Raw genomic sequence first — 23,901 nt, forward strand, 5'->3', positions numbered from 1 at the left:
TTTTCCAGCAAAAACATTGAGGTTTTGAGAGACTTACTAATTTTCCCAATATCACATAGTTATTAAGTGGGGGAGATGAACCTGAGGAGTCTACCCCAAAACCTCATTCATTAATTTTTAGTGTTCGTAATATTCAGAAACTGAAAGCTATTCAACTCCATTAGAGGTCGTTTCTTTGATTACTAGTGGGGTTAAACATCTTTCCATATGTATATTGGTTCTTTTTAGTTGTATTCTTACTTCTTCTTATTTGTGTCTTTCATATATGTTCCTGATGATGTTGTCTTTTTCTGTAGCTGTTCTTTATAGTTTGAAGAATATTAAACCTTCATCATATATATTTCAAATATTTTTCCTGACTTGTAATTTGCCTTTTAACTTTATATTCATGATGTACTCCCTCAATAAATTAGTACTTAATGTATAAATAGACAGATGTCAAAATCTGTTTTCCTTAGGGCATCTGTTTTTTATGTTATAAGTAGCCCAAGATTATGGGAATATTTAACTGTATTTTTGTCTATTTAATGTTTAAATTTTTTCACTAAAATGAATTTATTTTAGTATGAGGTATGAATTAGACATCTAACTTACATTTTTCCACAATGATTAACCAATTGTCCCAATATCCCTTATTGAATTACCCATTACTTTAAAAATCCCATCTTAATTATATATTAAATTCTAATAAAGAACTGCTGTCTCAACCCTTTTCCCTTGGTGGCAGTGTAACATAGTTGTTGAGAGCATGAACATCAGTTTGAGATTAAACCTCATCTATACTGCTTATTAGCTGTGGGATCTTGAGTTAATTACTTGACTTCTAAATGCCTTTGTTTCCTTATCTACAAAATGGGAGGCAATAACAGTACCACCTCATAGACTTGTGAAGCTTAAATGAATTGATATACATAAACTATTTGGAACAATGCATGTTATACAGAAAGAAACCAGTAAAAATTGGCTATTATTATTATTTTTTAATTTTATAATGAAAAATAGTATTTGTTGTATTGTGTCCATACCATACAAACTGCCTTAGTAATAATGCCTTATTCATTAAAGAAAATATAATCTTTGAACAGAAGTGGTATGTAATTAAAGTTCAGGTAACCTTTATATACCATTAATTTTGTAAAGTTCATTATTCATACTAGATTCTTGTTTTTTATGTTTACTTTTGATAATAGGTAGACATTATAACATCTAAGTTCTAAAATATCACAGATTATTTTTATTTTATTGAAATATATGGAGTGGGTGCAGTGGCTCACACCTGTAGTCCCAGAATTTGGGGACACTGAGGTGTGCAGATTGCTTGAGCCCAAGAGTTTGAAACCAGCCATGGCACCATGGCAAAACCCCATTTCTACAAAAAATACAAATATTAGCCCAGCATGGTGGCGTGTGCCTGTAGTCCCAGCTATTCAAGAGGCTGAGGTGAGAGGATCACTTGAGCTTGGGAGATTCAAGGCTGCAGTGAGCTGTCATTGCGCCACTGCACTCCAGCCTGGGTGACGGGGAGATCGTGTCTTAAAATTTTTTTTTTTTAACATATGGAAATTATATTAAACCGTTTGTAGCCCAGTAATTGTATCCTTTAAAATGGAATTTTTAAATTTACTCATGAGTTCAGAAACTGTTATTTAAAAGTCACAATTTGTAGAGTATTTTGCCAAGGCAATAGAAACAATGAGGTGGTTTCTTCCTGCCCAATATTTATAATTTAATTTGGGACAGATGCTGATGAGAGTATAGATGCTTCCTGTATGTTATAGTGTGAAAACAGGATACTGTCTGTAAGGAATACAAGCAGTTTCTCTATGCCAGTAGGAAAAAAAAATGCTTTATTTAAAAATAGTAAGGAGACCAGGTGCCTGCCTGTAATCCCAGCACTTTGGGAGGCTTAGGCGAGAGGATCGCTTGAGCCCAGGAATTCAAGACCAGCCTGGGCAACATAGTAAGATCTCATCTCTGCTAAAAATAAGAAAATTAGCTGGTTGTGGTGGTGCACGCCTGTAGTCCTAGCTACTTGGGACACTGAGGTGAGAGAATCCCTCTGAGCCCAGGAGTTTGAGTTTACAGTGAGCTAAGATCTGCACTCCAGGATGGACAAGAGAGGGAGACCCTGTCTCAAAAAATAAATAAATAAATATGTACATATGTAAAATAAAAATAGTAAGGATAGTTAGACTAATTAGATGCTAAAGATACCAACTTTTAAATTTATTTCAGTGTCATTGTGGAAAATTTTGAAGCTTTTGGGTTTTTGTTAAACTTATAAATCTCACTTACACGCAGCGTTTTTGAACTCAAAGTTTAGTGAAGTATAGATGCATCCTCAGTTTTCTAATGGTTTTCTTCTGACATAGGAAGAGAACCTGAACTATTGTTAACTTTGTTTACCGATTACATCTGAATTGCATTCCTCTGTTGTTCAATGAGCAGTGTTTTGTGGGATATGCTTAGATAAATAAATTCATGTAAAAATTACTTATAGTTCAATTAAATGTTTGATTTGGTAGCCAAAGAGTATGGAATCATAGTCTTGATCAGTGTGAAATTATAGGTTAGCGTCATCAACATAAAAACCAAGATTCTAAGTCATCCTTGAACTTCAAGGTAATTTTCAGAGACCCTTGAGATTATGTGTTAGAGATAGGGATGAAAAATTGATTTTATCTTTTATTCCAACCCAAATTTAGTAGCAGTAAATGCCTGCAGCACCATGGTAAGAAGGACTGCAAAGCTTTCAGGCTTTTCAGGAAAGAACACTCTAGTACTGGCTACCTTGGAGTTTAAGGAGACTTACTTTTGACCATTTTGAGGGCCTTAGCACAGAACTACTCTTGGTCCTAGCTGGTTAGACAAGCCTAGCTTTTCTATGATCCTCCAAATGGGATCTGAATAATCCAGTTATCATGTTAGCATTGAAGATAAAGAACTAGTATATTATATTTATTGGGTCTACTAAAATTTCATAGACGGGTAGAATTGACTCTTCAGATTCCAGAACAACCCTTCAGGTCTTGGATATACAAACTCCTTTAGTGTAGTGTCCTTGTGAGCATTGTCTGTGGGCGCCAACTTTCAAGTAGTTGGCTTGCAGCTCACACCAGAATGGAAAGGACATGTTTCTAGGACCCTGAAGAGAATTTTCATTGTTCACTGTTTTTATGCAACCAACAGGATAGTATGATAATTGTGTGTGTTCATTTAATCCGTATTTATTGATCACTCGTCTTACACAGTGTACTTAGGAATACAGAGATAAATAGAACACAGGCCCTACTCATGAAACTCATAATTTGATAGACATGGCAGCATCAATAATTTTTGAGTTTGGGCACTACATAGTCCTCATGCAATTGTTTGGCTTTCAGCAAGTCACTTTGAGCACCAGTTTCTTTAAATGGGTCTAATGGCAACATTGCTGGTTGAGATAATGTATGTGATATGTCTCACTTAGTGTCTGATACATGGTAGATGATAACTATCAGTAGCTTACATTTTCTAGTACTTTTAAGGTTTACATTGCAGTTTGACAAGTAAAATTGTATTAAATTCTTATAGTGTCCCTATAAGCTTATATTTTTTACTTTTTCATAAACCAAGTTAACTGGGGTCCAGATATGTTAAGTTTCTTAAGTTCAAGATTGCCAATCAGGTCCTAAAACTTGTATTTATTCATACAGCTATTCCAACATGTAAATATAAATTTGTTCAAAAGAAATGAGTGATAAGATATGAAATGAGATGGCTTTAAGGAATGCCGTAGCACAACAGAAAATCGTCAAATATTGATGCCTATGTGGAGGGAAGACAAAGCCAATGAACTATGTTTGTATTAGGCACTGAGTGATCCAAGCCTTTTTATTGTTCTTGACTTAGTCCAATGAGCAGCACCAGTGCCTGCAGTAATCAGCTGTTTGTATTATCTAGGAGCCCACTTATAGAATTGGGTGCTGAGATATCTTATTTTGCATTCTATTTAGTAGCCTATGTATGTTTGGTTAGAAGGAGGGAGGAGGGAGTTGAAAGGGGAGTTTGGATTTCAAGTTTGGCAGTAGTCATTCACAGTGAGCAATTTTATATGCCATTATTAGAAATGGAAATCAGTCTTGTAGCCATTTAGATCATGTGCAACAAAGGCTTTTGAATATTTTTAGTTGGTTAGTTACTTGCTAAAATTATGCAAGAAATATGATTTTCCCTTTATCTTTTTTCACTTTTGGGCTTCTTCCATTTTGCCTTCAAGGATAACATATAGGTCATTTCTGGAGGAAGAATATTATATTTGATAGCTTGATCCAATGTGGTAAACTTTAATAAATACTACTGCCCCACTTCTTCTATCACCCTCTCACTCCTGCTATTATCCAGGAGAAATGTGATATAATTTCTTTCATTAGAATTGAAGGGTGTTTTTATAGTCTTTCCATTTTTTCATTTATTCTCAAACATTAGGCTGTGTAGGTTTGTAGGTTTTCTGGCCAGTTTTGATTATTAAGAATCACAGCTTTTCTACCATTTAAGGTCACATTTATGAGTGATTCACTAATAAATCTAAGAACTGCAGTGGCTTGGGAGTAAATATAAGAGAAATGTTTCTACTGGAAAGAGAAACACTGAGAGGCAGAAGTGGAAGGCTATCTGGAGGGTTGTGGAATTGGCAATGGTCAGTGTTTCTGATCCTTAGGTTTGCAAGCTTATAAGCAATTGAAAAAGACAGTTATTGAAGACTTAATTTTTTCTGAAAGTACTACTGTTTGATTCTATATGAGCATAATTAATGATCATGCTGAATTAGGAATTTGGTTTGAGGGTTTCTATAAGAAACACTGTTGGATACTGCATTTCAAAAATGATAGAATTTTTTCTTAAATCTTCACCTCCTACTTTCTGGATGCTTTTTCTTTGATAATATATCTTTATTTGACCCAGTTATCACTAGAGTTCAGTTGCTACCAGACTTTTCCTACCAGTTGTTGTTGGCATCTGATTCCATCTGTTTACTCATTTATTCATTTCCCGTAAATTTTTACTCCAAATATCCCATAGGCAGTGTGTCAGAATATTTTTTTTTAACCAGTTGACTTTACATGGCATTTCTTTCAGAACATTCTGCCATTCATTTGTCAAGTATTTGTTGAAAGCTTACTGTGTGCCAAGCACAGTAATAGGCTATGAAACAAATGATCAGTGAAGTTCAATCCTTATGTCTAGGAACTCACAAATTGGGAAATTTGGGGGATGAAGGGGAGAGAGGTTAAGAAACATAAAGAGACATATAAGCAAACAATAACAATACATGTTACCTCTTTTTTCAAAGCACACTTCATAACTTTTCTGTTCTCTAGTATCTAGCCTTTGTAATCTTTCTTCTGTACTGTTGTCAGAGATATTTTTCTTAGATGCAGATCTGATCCAAGTTATTCTCTGCATAGTATACCTATGGAATAAGAACCAAACTTCTTAGCATAGCATGCTGGATATACTGTTTGCTCTCCAAATTCTCTCTTTACCATACTCTGTTCTTGGGGAGGCAGACCTTTATGGATTATATTAGCTGAGCTCCCTTGCCCTTTGGTTTCCTGTTGGGTTTAGCCAATGGGATACGGCTGGAGATTGCAAACTGGAAAGAAAGAGAGGTCAGATTATTTATTCTCTTGGTTCTCTACTTGTAGGGTCATTGGTTGACAGTGACTGCATCTTCCTGTATAGCTACAGTTGCAGCCACTGTAGCTGCCACTGAGTGCCAATAACTCTTGCTCTCCAGAGACGGATTAAACGTTAAGATAATGAAATTTAAACTTCAGGGCCCCTCACTTGCAGGGGACTTGCAGAGGCCTTAGGAATCTGTTTACAAAGCTATTTATTTTTGTAACATTTGCAAAAGTTATTTTTACATTCTTTCTGAAGAAGGGCCGACGGCTGGGCACAGTGGCTTATGCTTGTAATCCCAGCATTTTTGGAGGCCGAGGTGGGTGGATCACCTGAGGTCAGGAGTTCGAGACCAGCCTGGCTAACATGGTGAAACCCTGTCTCTACCCCAAATACCAAAATTAGCTGGGTGTTGTGGCATATGCCTGCCTGTAATCCCAGCTATTCAGGAAGCTGAGGCACGAGAATCGCTTGAACCCAGGAGGCGGAGGTTGCAGTGAGCCAAAATCACGCCAGTGCACTCCAGCCTGGGTGACAGAATGAGACTCCATCTCAAAAAAAAACTGGGGGGGGCGGGTACTAACAAAATGGTATAATCTTCAGGCCCTATAAAACTGGACCCTCCAATGTCCTTAACCTTGACCCTTCAAGCTTAGGTAAGTATAAGGTTTACAGGGAAGAGAGACTACTGAATAACATACTTGGGAAGGCTATTAATGAATATTTCATGGATGAAATAATAATTTGAGTTGGTGTTGTAGGATGAGGAGTTCTTCAGGTGAAGAAGGATAGAAAGGTCATTACAAATAGAAGACACAGCCTGTTCAAAGGGAATGAGTATTTTGATGTCTACAGTGAAGCATACTAGGTAGAAAACAAAGAAAATACAAAAGTCCTGCGGCAGGAATATGTCTGTCAGTTTTGAGAACAGCATAGAGATCAATGTGGCTGTAGACAAATGAGTGATGGGGAGAATAGTAGGTAAGGTTAGAGTTTCCTGTTACTTAGGGTCTTGTAAGCCGTTGTAAGGACTTTGACCTTTTATCCTGAGTGAGACTGGGAAACAGGAAGGTTTTGAGCTATGTGGACATGATCTGACTATTGTTTTAAAACAAGTAGCCTGGCCACTTTGATGAGAATAGATTGGCTGTGTTGCCACCCAAATCTCATCTTTAATTGTAGCTCCCATAATTCCCATGTGCTGGGGGGGGACCTGGTGGGAGATAATTGAATCATGGGGGTGGCTTCCCCCATACTGTTCTTGTGGTAGCAAATAAGTCTCATGAGAGCTGATGATTTTATAAGGGGAGATCTGATGATTTCTCCTTTTGCTTGATTCTGATTTTCTCTTGTCTGCTGCCATGTAAGATATACCTTTCACCTTCTGCCATGATTGTGAGGCCTCCCCAGCTACTTGGAACTGTGAGTTCATTAAACTTCTTTTGTAAGTTGCCCAGTCTCAGGTATGTCTTTATCAGCAACGTGAAAATGGACTAATACACAGAGAGACCAGTTAGAAGGCTATTCTAGTAATTTACACAAGAGATGATAATGATTTGGACAAGAGAGTTGATGGTAGAGTTGGTGAGAAATGGAAAGTACAGTATTCAGGATTTGTTGATGGATTCGATGTAGGGTATTAGAGTGACAGAAGCGAGTCAAGGATAACTCTAGTATTTTTGTCCTAAGTAATTGCAATGGCAAATTGCTGTTTACTGAGATGGATGAGACTGGGAAGAGCAAGTTTGAGGAATGGTGAAAATCAGGAGTTTTTTTGTACGTGTTAAGTTTAAGGTGCTATGTTAATCTGTTCTTTCATTGCTGTAAAGAAATATCTGAGGCAGGGTAATTTATAAAGAAAAGAGGTTTAATTGGCTCATGGTTCTGCAGGCTGTAGAGGAAGCATGATGCTAGCATCTGCTCAACTTCTGGGGAGGCCTCAGGAAACTTACAATCGTGGCAGCAGGTGAAGGGGGAGCCCGCACCTCACATGGCCAGAGCAGGAGGAAAAGAGAGAGTGGGGAGATGCTACACACTTTTAAACAACCAGATCTTAGGGGAACTCACTCACTCCCTATCACAAGAATAGCACCAAGAGGATGGTGCTAAACCATTCATGACAAACTGTCCCCACAATCCAATTACCTCCCACCAGGCCCCATTTCCAACACTGGGGATTACAATTTGACATGAGATTTGGTGGGGACACAGATCTAAACCATATTATTCTGCCCCTGGCCCCTCACACCTCATGATCCTTTCACATTGCAAAATACAATCATGCCTTCCCAACAGTCCTTCAAAGTCTTAACTTATTCCAACATTAACTCAATAGTTCAAAGTCTCATCTGAGACAAGGCAAGCCCCTTCCACCTATGAGCCTGTAAAATAAAAAATTAGTTAGTTACTCCCAAGATTCGATGGGGGTATAGTCATTGGGTAAATACTCCTGTTCCAAAAGGGAGAAATTGGCCAAAAGAAAGGGGCTACAGGCCCCATGCAAGCCCCAAACCCAGCAGGTTACTCATTAAGTCTTAAAACCCCAAAATTTGACTCCATGTCTCATGTCCAGGGCACACGGGGGTGGGCTCCCAAGGCCTTGGGCAGCTCAGACCCTGTGGCTTTGCAGGGTTCAGCCCCCACAACTGCTCTCATGGGCTGACATTGAGTGCCTGCAGCTTTTCCTGGTGTACCATGCAGGTTACTGGTGGATCTACCACTTTGGGGTCTGGAGGACTGTGGCCCTCTTCTCACAGCTCCAGTAGGCAGTGCCCCAGTGGGGGCTCTCTGTGGGAGCTTCAACCCTGCATTTCCCTTCCACACTATTCTAGTAGAGTTCTCCATGAGGGCTCCATTAGCAGCAAGCTTCTGCCTGGACATCCAGGCTTTTCCATACATCCTCTGAAATCTAGGCAGAGGCTCTTAAGCCTCAACTCTTGCACTGTGTGCACCTGCTTACAGCTTGCACCCTCTGAAGCAGCCTCAGCTATACCTGTGCCCCCTTGAGCCATGGCTGGAACTAGAGCAGCTGGAATGCAGGGAGCAGTGTCTTGAGGCTACTCAGGGTGGCAGGCACTGGGCGTAGCCCACCAAACTATTCTTCCCTCCTACGTCTCCAGGCCTGTGATGGGAGGGGCTACCTCCAAGGTCTTTGAAATGCCTTCAAAGCCTTGTCCCCATTTTCTTGGCGAATGCAAATTTCTGCAGCCTGCTTGAATTCCTCCCCTGAAAATAGACTTTTCTTTTCTATCACATGGCCAGGCTGCAAATTTTCCAAACATGTATGCCCTGCTTCCCTATTAAATATGTTCCAATTTTATGTCATTTCTTTGCTCACACATATGAGCATAGGTTGTTAGAAGCAGCCAGGCCAGATCTTGAACTCTTTGCTGCTTAGAAATTTCTTCTGGGTTGGGCATGGTGGCTCATGCCTATAATCTCAGCACTTTGGTAGGCCGAGTTGGGTGGATCACAAGGTCAGGAGTTCGAGATCAGCCTGGCCAATATGGTGAAACCCTGTCTCTACTAAAAATACAAAAATTAGCTGGGTGTGGTGATGGGTGCCTGTAATCCTAGCTACTCAGAAGGCTGAGGCAGGAAAATTGCTTGAAACTGGATAGCAGAGGTTGCAGTGAGCCACGATCATACCACTGCAATCCAGCTTGGGCAACAAGAGTGAACTCTGTCTCAAAAAAAAGAAAAAAAGAAATTTCTTCTTCCAGGTACCCTAAACTATCACTCTCGAGTTCAGAGTTTCACAGATCTCTAGGGCCAGGGCACAATGCAGCCAGGTTGTTTGCTAAGGCATAACAAAAGTGACTTTTTGCTTCACCTCCCAATACATTCCTGATTTCCATCTGAGACTTCCTTAGCCTGGGCTTCATTGTCCATATCACTATAAGCATCTTGATCACAACCATTCAACAAGTCTCTAGGAAGTTTCAAATTTTCCCTCATCTTCCTGTCTTCTTCTGAGCCCTCCAAACTTTCCCTTTGCCTATTACCCAGTTCCAAAGTTACTTCCACATTTTCAGACACCTTACAGCAACACTGCTTTCCTGGTACCAATTTTCTGTAGTTAGTCTGTTCTCGAATTGCTATAAAGAAACACCTAAGACTGGGTAATTTATAAAGGAAAGTTTAATTGTCTCATTGTTCTAGAGGCTGTACAGGAAGCATGATACTGGCATCTGCTTGGCTTCTGTGGAGGCCTCAGGAAACTTAGAATCATGGCAGAAGGTGAAGGCGGAACCAGCACTTCATATGGCTGGAGCAGGAAGAAGAGAGAGAGGGAGGAGGTGCTACAGTCTTTTAAACAGTTAGATCTCAGGATAACTCACTCACTCATTATCACAAGAACAGCACCAAAGGGATGGTGCTAAATCCGTCACGAGAAACTGTTTACATGATACAGTCACCTCCCACCAGGTACTGCCTCCAACACTGGGGATTACAATTCAGTATGAGATTTGGTGGGGCACAGATCCAAAGCACATCAGGTGCCTATTTGACATTCAAATGAAGAAGGTGAATAGACAATTGGCTATATAAGTCTGGGTAGAGTGGGTTGGGAGTACAAATGGAGTGTTGTAAGCATATAGATGGTGTCTAAAGCCATATGACTAGATGAGATACTAAGGAAGTGAATATAGATTTTTAAAGGGGGAGAAAGAAAGTGCCAACATCTGAGGTTTGGGACCCTCCAACACATCAGGGAAGTAGGAAGAACTGACAAGTTAAAGAAGCAGCCAGAGAGAAACAGAGAAAAAACAGAAATATGGTGATACAGAGAGCTAAGTGAATGAAGTGTTTCAGTGAGGCAGAGGTTGTCAACAATTCTTGGTATATCAAATAAGATAAGTATTGATAATTGACCGTTGGATTTAGCAATGTTCAGGTCATTGGTGATCTTGATGATGCTCAGCAGAGTGAATTTAAAATGAAGTGAGTTCATGGGAGGAGAGGAATTGGAGGCAATGAGAAGAGACAACCCATTAGGAGTTTTGCTGTAATGGGGGACAGAAAGTTGTTCTTTGGGAAAAGAGGAGTTGAGAAGTTTTTGTGTTTTGTTTTAATTATTAGTGTTTTAAGATGGAATAAATAATAGTCATGTTTGTATACTGATGGGAATGATCCATCAGAGAAAGAAAAATTGCTGGAGCAATGTCTTTGTCCAGTCAAGGGGGGATGGGATTTAGTGCATAAGTGGAGAGGCTGGCCTTAGATAGGAACATAGACAATTCATCTGTTATGACAGAAGGGAAGGTGTATTATATGGATATAATTCTTGTACAGTAGGTGGGAAGATGTGGTGGGGGTTTTTGAAAATTATTTTCAAATTTCTTTTTTCTCAGTGAAATAGAAAGCAATGCCATAAGTTGAAAGATAGGATAGGGAGGTGTTAGAAAAAAGGGGGAAAAGTCATCTAGGAGAATGAGACAGTTAATACACAAGGGGAATGTAGTATGATTTCTGGGCAGAATTAAAGCCCCACTTGGGATTAGTAGTCATGAATTTAAATTGACATCAGCCAGATATGGTGTCTCACACCTGGAATCCCAGCACTTTGGGAGGCGGAAGCAAGTGGATCACTTGAGATCAGCCTAGGCAATATGGTGACAACCTGTCTTTATGAAAAATACAAAAATTAGCCAGGTGTGGTAGTGCATGCCTCTATAGTTTCAGCTGCTAGGAAGACTGAGGTAGGAGTATCACTTGAGTCTGGGAGGTTGAGGCTGCAGTGAGCCGTGATCACGCCACTGCACTCCAGCCTGGGCAACAGAGACCCCTGTCTCATTAATAATAGTAATAATAATAAAGTGATATCAGTCAGCAGCCACATTAGCTGCACAGTTGCAGGTGCAGAATAAGTAGAAAGTTGGCCTTTGCTGAGCAAATAAAATGAAGTCAGATGGAGGAAAGTTGTCAGTGTATACAAGAGAATGATTGTGAAACATGAATATTTCCGATTGCATTTTTCATAATAGCCAAAAGCTGGAAATAACCTAAATGTTCATCAACTAATGAATGAATATACAATGGAATATTAGCCATAAAAGGAAATGAAGTACTGATACATGCCACAGCATGAATGAACTTTGAAAACATCATGCTTAGTGAAAAACCAGATGTAAAAGGCCACATATATGATTCCATTTTTATGTAGTGTCCATAATGGGCAAATCCACAGAGAAGATAATTAGTGTTATGATTGGGGCTGAGTGGAGGAGGAAAGGGGAGTGGCTGTTAATAGGAACATAGTTTCTTTTTGGAGTGATTAAAATATTCTGGAATTAGATAGTGGTAATAGTTGCACAACTCTAAACATACTAAAAATCACTTTAGAAAGGCAGATTTTATGGTATGTGAATTATATCTCAATAAAGCTATATAAAAATAACATGCTAGCTCACTAGAAATTTGCTTATCCCAAACTCAACAAATTGAACAGCTCAGAAATATAGCTGAGCTGTATTTGTAATCAACTAATGTAGGACTAAGGTGAACAAGTAGCTGTATTACAATGTTTGCAGTCTCTTTTCAGGTTTCAAGATTACAGTTGTTTTTTTCTCAGACATCCCTTAGTATTAAAATGTTATTGGCTAAGTTGCAGAGCTTGTGAGGAGAGACCAATTCTGGCTCAGTCTTAATTACTTAGTATCTTCATCTCTCCATCCCTTCCTCTCCCCTTCCAATTAACAAACCTTTACTAAGCTATAAAAATCATCAAGCACTATCCTAGGTGCTACTGGTTATACAAAGATGGATTGGACTTTGTCCCTCCCCTTGAATGTGAGGTTTAATGGGGAAATGAGGTTTAGGAACTTGGAGCACATTTCATTTTTAGGGTGAGACTACTCTAATCGTTCTTCAGCATCCTCCCATCTATAGCTTATAGATAACGTATGCACTCAAGGCATAAGAAACTTATTTGGATCTTCATTACGCTTGAAACATTCTTCCTTTTGTCTCTAGAACATCAGACATTCTTTCTCCTCTTACTCTAAAGTATTTTGGGGCTACCAGATGAAAACTCATAATAATTTTCTTCTGATGCTCTAGACCTGAAATATCTTTTATAAAAACTTCAACATTCAAAATTACGATGTATGTTAGGCAAAGCGTGCATACTGGTGCTATCTGCAAAACAAATAATAATGTTTACCTTGCAGGATTGTTGTGAGGGATCAATGAGTATACATAATTGATATATGGAAGTGTCAAACACACGAGCTCTTCAATAAACATTAGTATACTTTATCACTTTGCCAAAGTCTACAAACACTAATTTTATATATGGCAATATGTTGAGATTGCAGATATAGACATAGACCTTAACAGACAAACCCTAATTCCAAAGAGTTTGCCATTCATTGATGGAAATTAATTGGTTCAGAGATGTTGACCATGTCTACCTTATTATTTAATAACTTAATTAACTTACTACAAATCTATCGATGTTTTCCATCTTGGATTTTTATATCATAAAAATGTAGAATTCTTAGCTCATGACTATATGAAAAATAGATATTTGATAATGCTTTTTAATGATTATAAGCTAATTATATTTTGAATCTCATGCCTAACTGAAATGTAATGTTGCATGCTGGACTTTGAATTTACTAAAAAGTTCTTTTGTTGTCTTCCTAGAATGGAGCTGGTTTGTCAAAATCCAAAGGAAGCCGAATTGGATTTGATAGCACACAGTGGGTATGTAGAATAAACAAGAAATTTCTCAATTATAATGTTCATTTAGTTCATTCATTTACTCCGTAAGTATTTGTTGAATGATGGCAATAATAATAGCTACCTTGTGTGGTGGGTGGCCGGTTGGTAGTGGCAGGTAAGGGACAGGCCCTTTACCAAGTGCTTTATGCAATGTCTTATTTAGTCCCTATAGAAAGTTTAAGAAGTGAGTAAATATTGTTACTCTCAATTCACTTAGAGAGATTAAACTTAGTTGGCTGATAATTTGGTAAGACCAGATTCTGTCTGCCTCTAAAACCCACATTCACTGAGCTATGGTGTTTCCCTAAATGAATGAATATATGAATCAGATTTATTTGAATAAGGGAAAAGTAATGATCAGGAATAAAAATCTATTCAACCTATTCCTTTATAAGATGAGGGGAAACCAGCAATATATACAATATATCCTTGTTTTGTTTTAGAAATTTCAGAACCTACACATTGATAAAATATATTTTCCTATGTTTTAAAACTAAATTTAGAAAGAAAAACATTGCTGGGTTACTAATAAAACACAACATTTATTCTGTTAGCATACATTATGGGAATGACCAGATATTTCTTGATACACTTCAATCTTTGGCTTCTCTATAACTAGAGATGTGGAACACTTTAAATTAGAAGTGGATTTTCAGATCACCAAGCAGTGGTCATTTTAGATCATTGCTAACACCAAGTAGATTTTGAACTACTGTTTAAAAGTAAAGTCTGGGATATCCTATTATCAGGCTCCCCAGCTCTCTAGTCTATAAGTGTCAATGTAAACTTTTAATTTATTAAAAATAGCAATTGTTTTGCTCTGTGAATTTAGGGTATTCTGAGGATAAAGGTAAGCATGATATACTTGGAAGTTATACTACCCAGTCACAGTTATAAAGATTTTAGATTAAATTAAAAAGAGGTATTTTGTATGCTTCTCTGTAACACTTCTCTACCTCCATCCCACCCTTAGGAAACACATACACCTAATACTTGGACCTGATTTATCATCTTGTGGTTGAAGTAATTTGCTGAGATTTAAAATTCAGTATTTTAACAGCCAAAGGCAACAGGGGTGATCTTTCATACATTTTAACATTATAAGATGTGATGATACTTAGAGAAACATATATTTTTCAGATTTGCCATTTATTAGGAGTCTTCATCTGTACACTGTAAAGCAATTTCAGCAAAAAATTTAAAGCCGTAGTAGCTTCAGTTGGATAAAAGGTTTTCCTTTATCGGTATTAACCAACAACATTCTGACAACATTCCCAAACCTTTTAGTAAATAGAGAGAGCAGTCAGAGAAAGTACAGGTTCACTGATACATTTTAAAATGGAATTTGTGAAAAATTTAAAGCTTAAAATAATAGAAAAAAGTAGCGTGACTCTATCCTTTTCATTCAAGAAATGATCCTTGAGGTGGGAGAAAATAATGGATTTTTTTCAAAGTCTTTACTTCCACGGTACGCAAGCAAAAAGTTGAAGAGCAGCTTACCACATTCAGTGAGTTCTCTTTATACTCTTTTACATTGAGGGGACTAAAAAAAATTGTAAATGTGGTCACTGAATGACTATATTTGCAAAATCACAGGAAAGGAGAAGTACTAACATACTTCTAAACTTTTAGAAGGAATAAAAGGTGAAATCTCATCAATAGTGTGATATTGAGCCCTGGTAAAATTCTAGGGCTCAATGTTTATGGAGTTATTAAACAGATGACTTGGGAGCACTTAGAAAAGAAAATGATCATAATTAGGAACTAGGCTTTTACTAAGAACAAGTCCTGCCAAGACTTTTTAGGTTTTAATAAAATTTTAATACACAGGCAGATGAATGGGCTATTATGGTCTCAGCATAATCTCTTTTCAACAAGATGTTTTTCAGTCTTATAAACAAAATGAGTTACTGAAGGTCAGATGATAATAGTGATTTAGAATTAATTGGATTTAGAATCAACTGGACACGTTTCCAAGGAGCGTTAATGATTGTATTGATAACAACTTGGAGGATGTGTTTAGAAGGTGAGTTATAGAATCTCTGCTTGACCCTGACCTAATCTGTATTTATATTAATAATGGTAATGAAGCTATAAGTGTGTTCATCATATTTGTATTTAACACCAACCTGAGATCCATTCAACAAACATTAAAGTACCTTTTATGTAGTAGTTCTGTTATCTCATCTTTCTTCCAAAACCATTTCTTTCTTGTTTTTTTCCTAGTATAAAGCACAGAAAGTAATAACCCTAAAAGACACACACACACACACACACAAAATAGCTAAATTGGACTATTAAAATTTTAAACTTCTAGTCATCAAAAAACACTATTAAGAAAATGAATAAGCATGCCACAGAGTAGCAAATATTTGTAAAACATGTATCTCACAAAGGAATGGTATCAAAGATATATGAAGAACTCCCACACGACTCAGTAATAGATTTTTTGTTCATGCCTTTCATCAAGTTGAGGATGTATTTTATTCCTGGTTTGCTGAAAGTTTTAAATCATGAATAGATACTGAATTTTGTCAAATGCTTTTTTCTATATTGAAATTATCATAGTTTTTCACTTTTTTCTGTTGATTTGTCAAATTTTATTGATTGATTTTCAAATGCTAAAGTAAGCTTTCATTCCTAGGATAAATACTACTTGGTCATGATATTTACTTTCCTTTTTTATCTTTTTTTAGTTACTGGAATTGATTTTCTAATATTTTATTAAGTATTTTTGCATCTGTGTTCATGAGGGATGGTGGACTATACTTTTTTTTGTAAGGTCTTTGTCAGGTTTTGCTTTTTTTTTTTTTTTTTTGAGATGAAGTCTCTCTGTCGCCCAGGCTGGAGTGCAGCCATGTGATCTCGGCTCACTGCAACCTCCACCTTGTGATCTCGGCTCACTGCAACCTCCACCTCCCGGGTTCAAGTGATTCTCCTGCCTCAGCCTCCTGAGTTGCTGGGACTACAGGCACACACCACCACGCCCGGCTAATTTTTGTATTTTTAGTAGAGACAGGGTTTCACCATGTTGGCCAGGCTGGTCCTGAACTCCTGACCTCAGGTGATCCACCTGCCTTGACCTCCCACAGTGCTGGGATTACAGGCGTGAGAAGTTTTGCTGTTGAGTATGGCACTGGCCTCTTAAAATCAGATAGGAAGTATTTTCTCCTGCTCCATTTTCTCAGAAAGTTTTTGTAGAATTGGTATTCTTCCTTAAAAATGATAGAATTCACCAGTGAACTGTCTAAGTCTGAAGTTTTTCCTTGTTGTTTTGAGGGCAGTTTTTTTTTTTCCTAACAAATTCAGTTTCTTTAATAGGTATAGGGCAATTCAGATTTTGTTTCATCTTGTGGCAGTTTTGTTAAATTGTATTTTTAAAGAAATTTGTGTCATCTAAGTTGAATTTTTTGGTGTAACATTGTTTATCCTAACTTTTTACTTAGCTGTTTCTCACACTGAGGTAATAAACCCCTATAAGGCAGAGATTATTGTATTCTTGGCATTTGCATAATACTCTACACTAAAAACAAATAATGAGACTGATTCTTAGCTTTATCTCATCCTTTATCCTTACAATTGATATTTTGTCTATTTATTTATCTTGTATATATTTTTATGAGTTCCTTCAGATTTTCTGAATAAGAATTTATTCTTAATTTCATGAAGCACCTTTTTGATAGGCAAACATTCCTATAAGTCTTGCTTTCATTGAAGTAGGCTTTTAAGCAATAGTGTATGCCAGATATTCTGTTTATCCTTGCTGTTCTTAGATATTACTTATTCCTAAGTGTGATTTAGTCCATTTTCATTCTACTGTTGAATTTTTGTTTTTTTCAGTAGGGGACCCTACTTACTACCCAGCAGAGTTATATTTTGAAATATTGCAGTATTAGAAAAGCACATTATATATGGCAGTCATCAAGCAGGCAGTGTATTTTGGTCTGAGTCTTTTGCTTAGAAAGATTATTAAGCAGCATTACAGATATGAAGAAAAATGGTACAAACAACTGAATTTTGTTTTTGAAAGATTAACAAGACTGATTTTTAAAAGCTGACGGATAGTTCTCTCAATTTTGCTTGAAAAGATTTAGCTAATACTAAGAGAATAATTTTTTAAGCACCACATTTTCATGTCAGATACCACTTCCTCTGTGAAATTTCTTATCCTTTTGATGTATGGTAAATTTGTAGCTTACTGGTCTGTACTTTTATAATATGTTGTATATGTTTTTCTTGTAGCATATTTCACCTTATATTGAAAATGTTCATCTTTCTTAGAAGACTGCTTATTGAGAGCAGAGACCATATGTGCTATTTAATCATTTGTATTTTTTAGCACAATGATAAGCATGGTATCTATTGGGTAACTACTCTGCATTCTTATACAATTAATGAATTAAAATGTTATAAAATAGACTGTTGTGTTGGCTTACTGGAATTACGAGAATTCTTTTTCTCTCAAACAGCGTGCAGTTAAAAAATTTATTATGTTAACATCCAACCAAAATGTACCAGTGTTTCTTATTGATCCTTTGATACTGGAATTGATTAATAAGAACTTTGAACAAGTCAAAAATACTTCTCATGGCTCTACTTCACAATGCAAGTTTTTCTGTGTTCCAAGAGACTTTACTGCATTTGCACTGCAGTATCACCTATGGAAGAATGAGGTAAGTGACTTGCTTTCAGATAATGGAATGTGTCTCTTTTTACAAAATAGTATAGGTTTAGGCTAGTTTAAAATGTAAAACATTAAAAATTTTTCCTGAAACACTTTATAAATTGTATCAGGAATATTTTCAGCTATAAATAACAATACAACTAATCACTAAGGCAAATAGGGGATTTCTTTTTCTTATATAATGAGAGGTTAAAAGGTTAGTGGCTATTGATATTAGTTTAGCTAGCCACTGATGTCAGGACTTGTGTCTCTGAAATTCTTTATTCATTTACCTCATTATCACAGGATAGCTGTCGTAGCTCCACATATCACATCCATGTTCACAACAGGAAGATGAGAGGAAAGATTCTGCTTTTTTGCTGGGGGAAACTTCTCAATATCGGTATTTTTAGGTCATTTCTGTTGAACTGTTTGATATCTCATAGAAAAAGCCTACAAGGCTTATTTTTACAAAGAATATTTTATAATGTCCCTTTATATTCCCCAAATGAAGTTCATAGAAATTATAACCCTCCTATATACATAATTCCCCAAATCAATATAATGTATTAACTATAATATAACCTAGAAATAAAAGGAAATGATATGTATTGCTGTGTGCAGATGCTCCAGAATGACTACACTGGAAGACATAATAAAGTAATTCAGATGCTTGTATTTAGAAGTAGGATCACAGAATGTGGTAGCTACAAATATAAACCCATACTATGAATGATATTGTTGTTGGCAATATGATTTTCCAAAATAGTGAGCAAGTTTCCAACAACAAAAAAAGTAAAATTGTCTCTTCATTGACATGACTATTGTATTCCTGAGAAATAAAAGCTCAGACAATTATAAACAAGTTTTTCACTATGTGATTATGTGACAGGACATTTGAAATTACATAGTACACAGGATAGATTTTCATATTTTGGATTGTAGGATATCTAATGTTCTTGGCCTAGGACTCTAAATGCCAGTTTGTCATTATGATAAACCAAAAATATCCCCCCAAATTTCTGAAGTATCTGTTGGGTACAGTCCCACTTGCCTTGAGAACCACTATTTTAGAAGAAGGGGAGTATGCCACCATTGGCAAAACTGATACTACCATAGTCAAGAGGAAGAAGCAAAAGCTCAGCCATACCCAGAATCAGCACATGGGTTCAAGTTTATTCTTCGTTTGTTTTTGTTTGTTTGTGTTGGGTTTTTTGTTTTTGTTTTTGTTTTTTGAGACGGAGTCTCGCTGTGTCACCCAGGCTGGAGTGCAGTGGTGCAATCTCTGTTCACTGCAATCTCCGCCTCCCAGGCTCAAGGGATTCTCCTGCCTCAGCCTCCTGAGTAGCTGGGATTACAGGCGTGTGCCACCACGTGTGACTGATTTTTGTATTTTTTTTTAGTAGGGACGGGGTTTCACCATATTGGCCAGGCTGGTCTTGAACTCCTGACCTCAAATGATCCACCTGCCTCAGCCTCCCAAAAGTTTCTCCTTTTGTACATATGACATCCTACTATTCAAGAGATTCAAGAGCCCTTGGATAGTCCCCCCTAAAACATCCCCCAATGTGGAGCTAATCAGATTGTTAGATCTAATAATGAAAGACTCCATTTGCATGTGATTTTTCTTTATTAATGCCATTACCATAAAGTGAGCAAACCTCTGCCAAGGCTACTGGGAGTGGACTTTTCTAGCAAAACCTTGACCTAGGCCTTTACACCAATTGATCAGAGCAACTATTTTGTTCTTTACTTCTCTTGTTGATGGTTATAAGAAAGCAAACCATATCATAATTCTGCCTATTTTGTCTGTCAGTCTTTCCTCCTATAACCCAAGGTCACGTTCTTCTCAAGTTCTGGCCGGCCTTTTAAATATTTCCTGAATTTGTCAGCTGATAATGCCTTTCTTTTATTCTATTCAGTAGTGTCTTTCTCTGAATTGGCTACCCTCCCCCTCAGTCAGTGCTTTCTACTTCTAAGGTGTACCAAGAAAGAAAAGGGAAGAAGGGAATGTTACAGTTGATAATGAAACAAATGATGTTGGAAAATGAACCTTGTCTTACAGTATGTTTGTTAATTTCTAATGATTTGCATTATGATGGTGTTCTATTATGGTAGTATTTTAAGATGTTGGGATGTAAACTATGAGATGAAAGAACTACTTTTTTGAAGTACTTTTGAAGATAAAGGTTATTAAAAGTTAAATTAAGAATTACAAGTTTAATTTTAAGTGCTGTCCTTAAATCAACATTTACTTTATAGAAACTAACTGGAAAACACTAACATGAGCATTCTCATTCCAAGGAAGGGATTTGTATTAATTTTCATAGAGTTTTTTTTGTTTTTTTTTTTTGAGACAGGGTCTCACTTTGTCACCCAGGCTTGAGTGCAGTGGCACAATCTTGGCTCACTGCAGCCTTGATCTCTCAGGTTCAAGTGATCCTCCTGGCTCAGACCCCCAAGTAGCTGGGACTACAGGTACATGCCACCACACCTTGGCAAATTTTTGTTTGTATTTTTTGTAGAGACAGGTTGCCCAGGCTGGTCTCAAACTCCTGAGCTCAAGTGATCCACCTGCCTCAGCCTCCCAAAGCGCTGGGATTACAGGGGTGAGCTATGGTGCCCAACCTATAAAGAGAGTCTTTGGCTATATCTTTCCTGCTACATACTTTGTATTTTTGCTGCTTTCCTTTATTCTCCCACCACTACCTTCTGCCCATCACCCTCATTAAAAAATGTTCTTACAGAGCAGATTAGCACAAAAATATGGCTCAAGTTCAATATAAGAATCACTTTAGTTTTGCTACTAGTATTTGGCTTTAAATATTCAATGTTTAAGTGTTGTTTCTTGATGTTTGATGCTTCTTTGGTTCTAGGAAGGCTGGTTTCGGATAGCTGAGAATATGGGATTTCAGTGCCTAAAGATTGAGAGTAAAGATCCCCGGCTAGACGGGATAGACTCACTCTCTGGAACTGAAATCCCCCTGCACTATATCTGCAAACTGGCCACTCATGCGATCCACTTGGTAGTCTTTCATGAGAGGAGTGGCAACTACCTCTGGCACGGCCACTTGAGACTTAAAGAACACATTGACAGGAAATTTGTTCCCTTCCGAAAGTTACAGTTTGGTCGTTATCCAGGAGCTTTTGACAGGTAAGTTCAGAGTCAAAACGTGAAATGTGAAATGAGTGTTGTTCAGTCATAATTCTTGCAGTGTTTTTACATTTGAGTATTGAAATCTAATATATAATTTATATAAGTATTTACAGTAACATTATTCTTAATGACTCCAAATTAGAAGCCACCCAAATGTCCTTCAACAATAAAAGGATTGGCTGGGCACTGTGGCTCATGCATGTAATCCCAGCACTTTGGGAGGCCGAGGTGGGCAGATCACCTGAGGTCAGGAGTTCGAGACCAGCCTGGCCAACATGGTGAAACCTCGTCTCTACAAAAAAATACAAAAATTATCCATGCATTGTGGTGGGTGCCTGTAATCCCAGCTACTGGGGAGGCTGAGGAAGGAGAATTGCTTGAGCCCTGGAGGTGGAGGTTGTAGTGAGCCGAGATTGTGATACCACACTCTAGGCTGGGCAACAGAGCAGGACTTTGTCTCAAAAAAAAAAAAAAAACTGTAAAGGAATAAATAATTTTTGATATATGTGTTCATACAATGAAGTATTACACAGCAGGGAAAAATAAACTAGGGGTCTGTGCACATTGTGGATGAATCCTACAATGCTGAATGACACAAGGCACAAAAGAATCTAAATTCTATTATTATTATTATTTTTTTCCATTCAAAAGTTTCTTTTATTCATTAATAAACAATGATATATATGTATACACAGCTTCATAATCATACCAAAAAAGTTTAAGTGAACTATCCTTTAAAGGCTGAGACCATAACTTTTTGAACAGAAATAATATGGATTATAAGACAGTATATTGATTTTTGCTGTCTTTATTTTAATATAAAGAACAAATTGTGTGGTAAGACTAATTTATTTTCCCACTTTGAAATTAAACCTCTCTAGAAACATTTAGATAAATTATGAACTAATCTTTAAAATACCGTATTACTTCAGCATTTCAAAATCAGTAAGTTTGGAAACTGTATTTAAGTTAATATTAGGAATAATATAACCACTGTTGATAACTAACAATATAGCCAAAAGAAAATGTGGTACATACACACAATGGAGTACTATTCAGCCATAAAAAAGAATGAGATCCTGTCATTTGCAACAACATGGATAGAACTGGAGATCATTATATTAAGTGAAATAAGCCAGGCACAGAAAGACAAACTTTCCATGTTCTCACTTATTTGTGGGAGTGAAAAATGAAAATAACTGAACTCATGGAGATAGAGAGTAGAATGATGGTTATCAGAGGCTAGGAAGCATAGTGGGAGAAAGAGGGGAAGAGGGGGATGGTTAATGGGTACAAAAAAATAGTTAGAAATAATGAATAAGACTGAGTATTTGCTAGGACAACAAGGTGACTATAGTAAAAAATAATTGTACATTTTAAAATAACTAAAAGTATACTTGGATTGTTTAATACAAAGGATAAATGCTTGAGGTGATAGATACCCCATTTACTCTGATGTGATTATTATGCATTGCATGCTTGTATCAAAATATTGCATGTAACCCATAAGTATACACACCTACTATGTACCTACAAAAATTGAAAATACAAAAGTGAAAGTAAATTCTATTATTACTTTTATAAAAAGTTCAAACACATGCTAAATTATGTTCATGGATGTATACCCTTATAGTAAAAGTATTAAGAAGGCTAAGCAAGACGTACCAAAAAAGACTAGATAGAGGACACAGAGAACTACAGGGAAACTGGAAGAATTTTATTTCTGTGGTGGAGACTTTGGTGTTTACTTTATAATTCATTATTTTGTGCCTTTATGTTATGCACTTTCCTATATATTTTTTAAAACCATGTGCAAAAATTTATCTTTGGCTATCTCAATAATAAAAATATTTCTTGTGAGAAACAGTTATTTGAAGGAACTCATGTAAAATTTGATTAGCTATAGTTTATAATATTAACAATTACAGGATTAAAAACATTCTTGAAGTTATACTTGGAGTATGAAGTTTCTAACCTAGAATTGTTCCTTTTATTCTCCTTTTGAAATCAGCGATAATGATGTTACAGTCTACTTTGAATAGCAGAATCTGATGTAAAGGTAGCAGTAAATATTTGTAAGGATTTTCACATTAAAAACTCCTTCTTAGTAACTTCCAGTGAGATAATTCTTATCTGTTACACTTGAGAAGTGTAAGAGTATGTTTATTCTTGCCTTCTTTTAAAAATATATATATATATTATATATATATGTTTTCTCTCTATCTGGAATCATGTGAGATTGCCTTCTTATTAGTACTTAAAGTCACATATTTGAGAATGACTGAAAAAGGTATTCGAAACTGAAGTCTTCTATATTTTTTGTGTATGAAAAGTCGGAACTTTTCTGAACCAAGCCATATTTTCAAAATGACCAAAAAAAATGAGTAGAGATGGAGAACAATACTTTGTTTTTATTATTGGCTTCTCTTATTTTAATCAAAAATCTTAATACTCACTGTTCTCTTACCACTTTTTTGCCTGTTTTTTTCTTATTCTGTATTTCAAATGACCTTCTTTAGGGAGACATTATCTTTTAGTTTTTTAAAGCTTTGTGAATTTATTTCAAAATTTAATAACTTAGTAAAGTTCAAAATTGTGAGTTACTTATTAAACATAAACATGTGACAATAGATAAAAGCTATCTCTACATTGTAAAATTTTATATGAGTAGGAATGGAAAACTCTCAAA

General features: G+C 36.6%; 1 protein-coding gene across 57 annotated transcripts in view, besides 1 other annotated feature; it reads left to right on the plus strand.

Moving 5' to 3' along the window:
* Nucleotides 1-23,901, plus strand: part of FKTN (fukutin) — an 82,989-nt gene that overhangs the window by 25,154 nt on the left and 33,934 nt on the right. For 48 of the 57 annotated variants that reach the window (NR_147213.2, NR_147214.2, XM_047422979.1 and 45 more), the window contains 3 exons: nucleotides 13,315-13,374; nucleotides 17,862-18,065; nucleotides 20,932-21,209. Coding sequence is in view for 55 of the 57 variants with exons in the window: in XM_047422979.1 (XP_047278935.1) it covers nucleotides 13,315-13,374; nucleotides 17,862-18,065; nucleotides 20,932-21,209 (542 nt within the window). In the remaining 2 variants the exon portion in view is untranslated. The other 9 variants (NM_001351502.2, NM_001351499.2, NM_001351500.2 and 6 more) reach the window with 5 other exon arrangements.
* Nucleotides 9,822-10,361: an enhancer, noted in NCBI's record as "NANOG hESC enhancer chr9:108355386-108355925 (GRCh37/hg19 assembly coordinates)". NCBI's record gives its function as "activates a minimal SCP1, AML or CMV promoter by ChIP-STARR-seq in naive H9 embryonic stem cells {active_cell/tissue: H9 hESC(naive)}" and the evidence as "EXISTENCE:reporter gene assay evidence [ECO:0000049][PMID:30033119]".

Source organism: Homo sapiens, chromosome 9 (assembly GCF_000001405.40).
Source record: "Homo sapiens chromosome 9, GRCh38.p14 Primary Assembly".
Classification (NCBI taxonomy): Eukaryota; Metazoa; Chordata; class Mammalia; order Primates; family Hominidae; genus Homo; species Homo sapiens.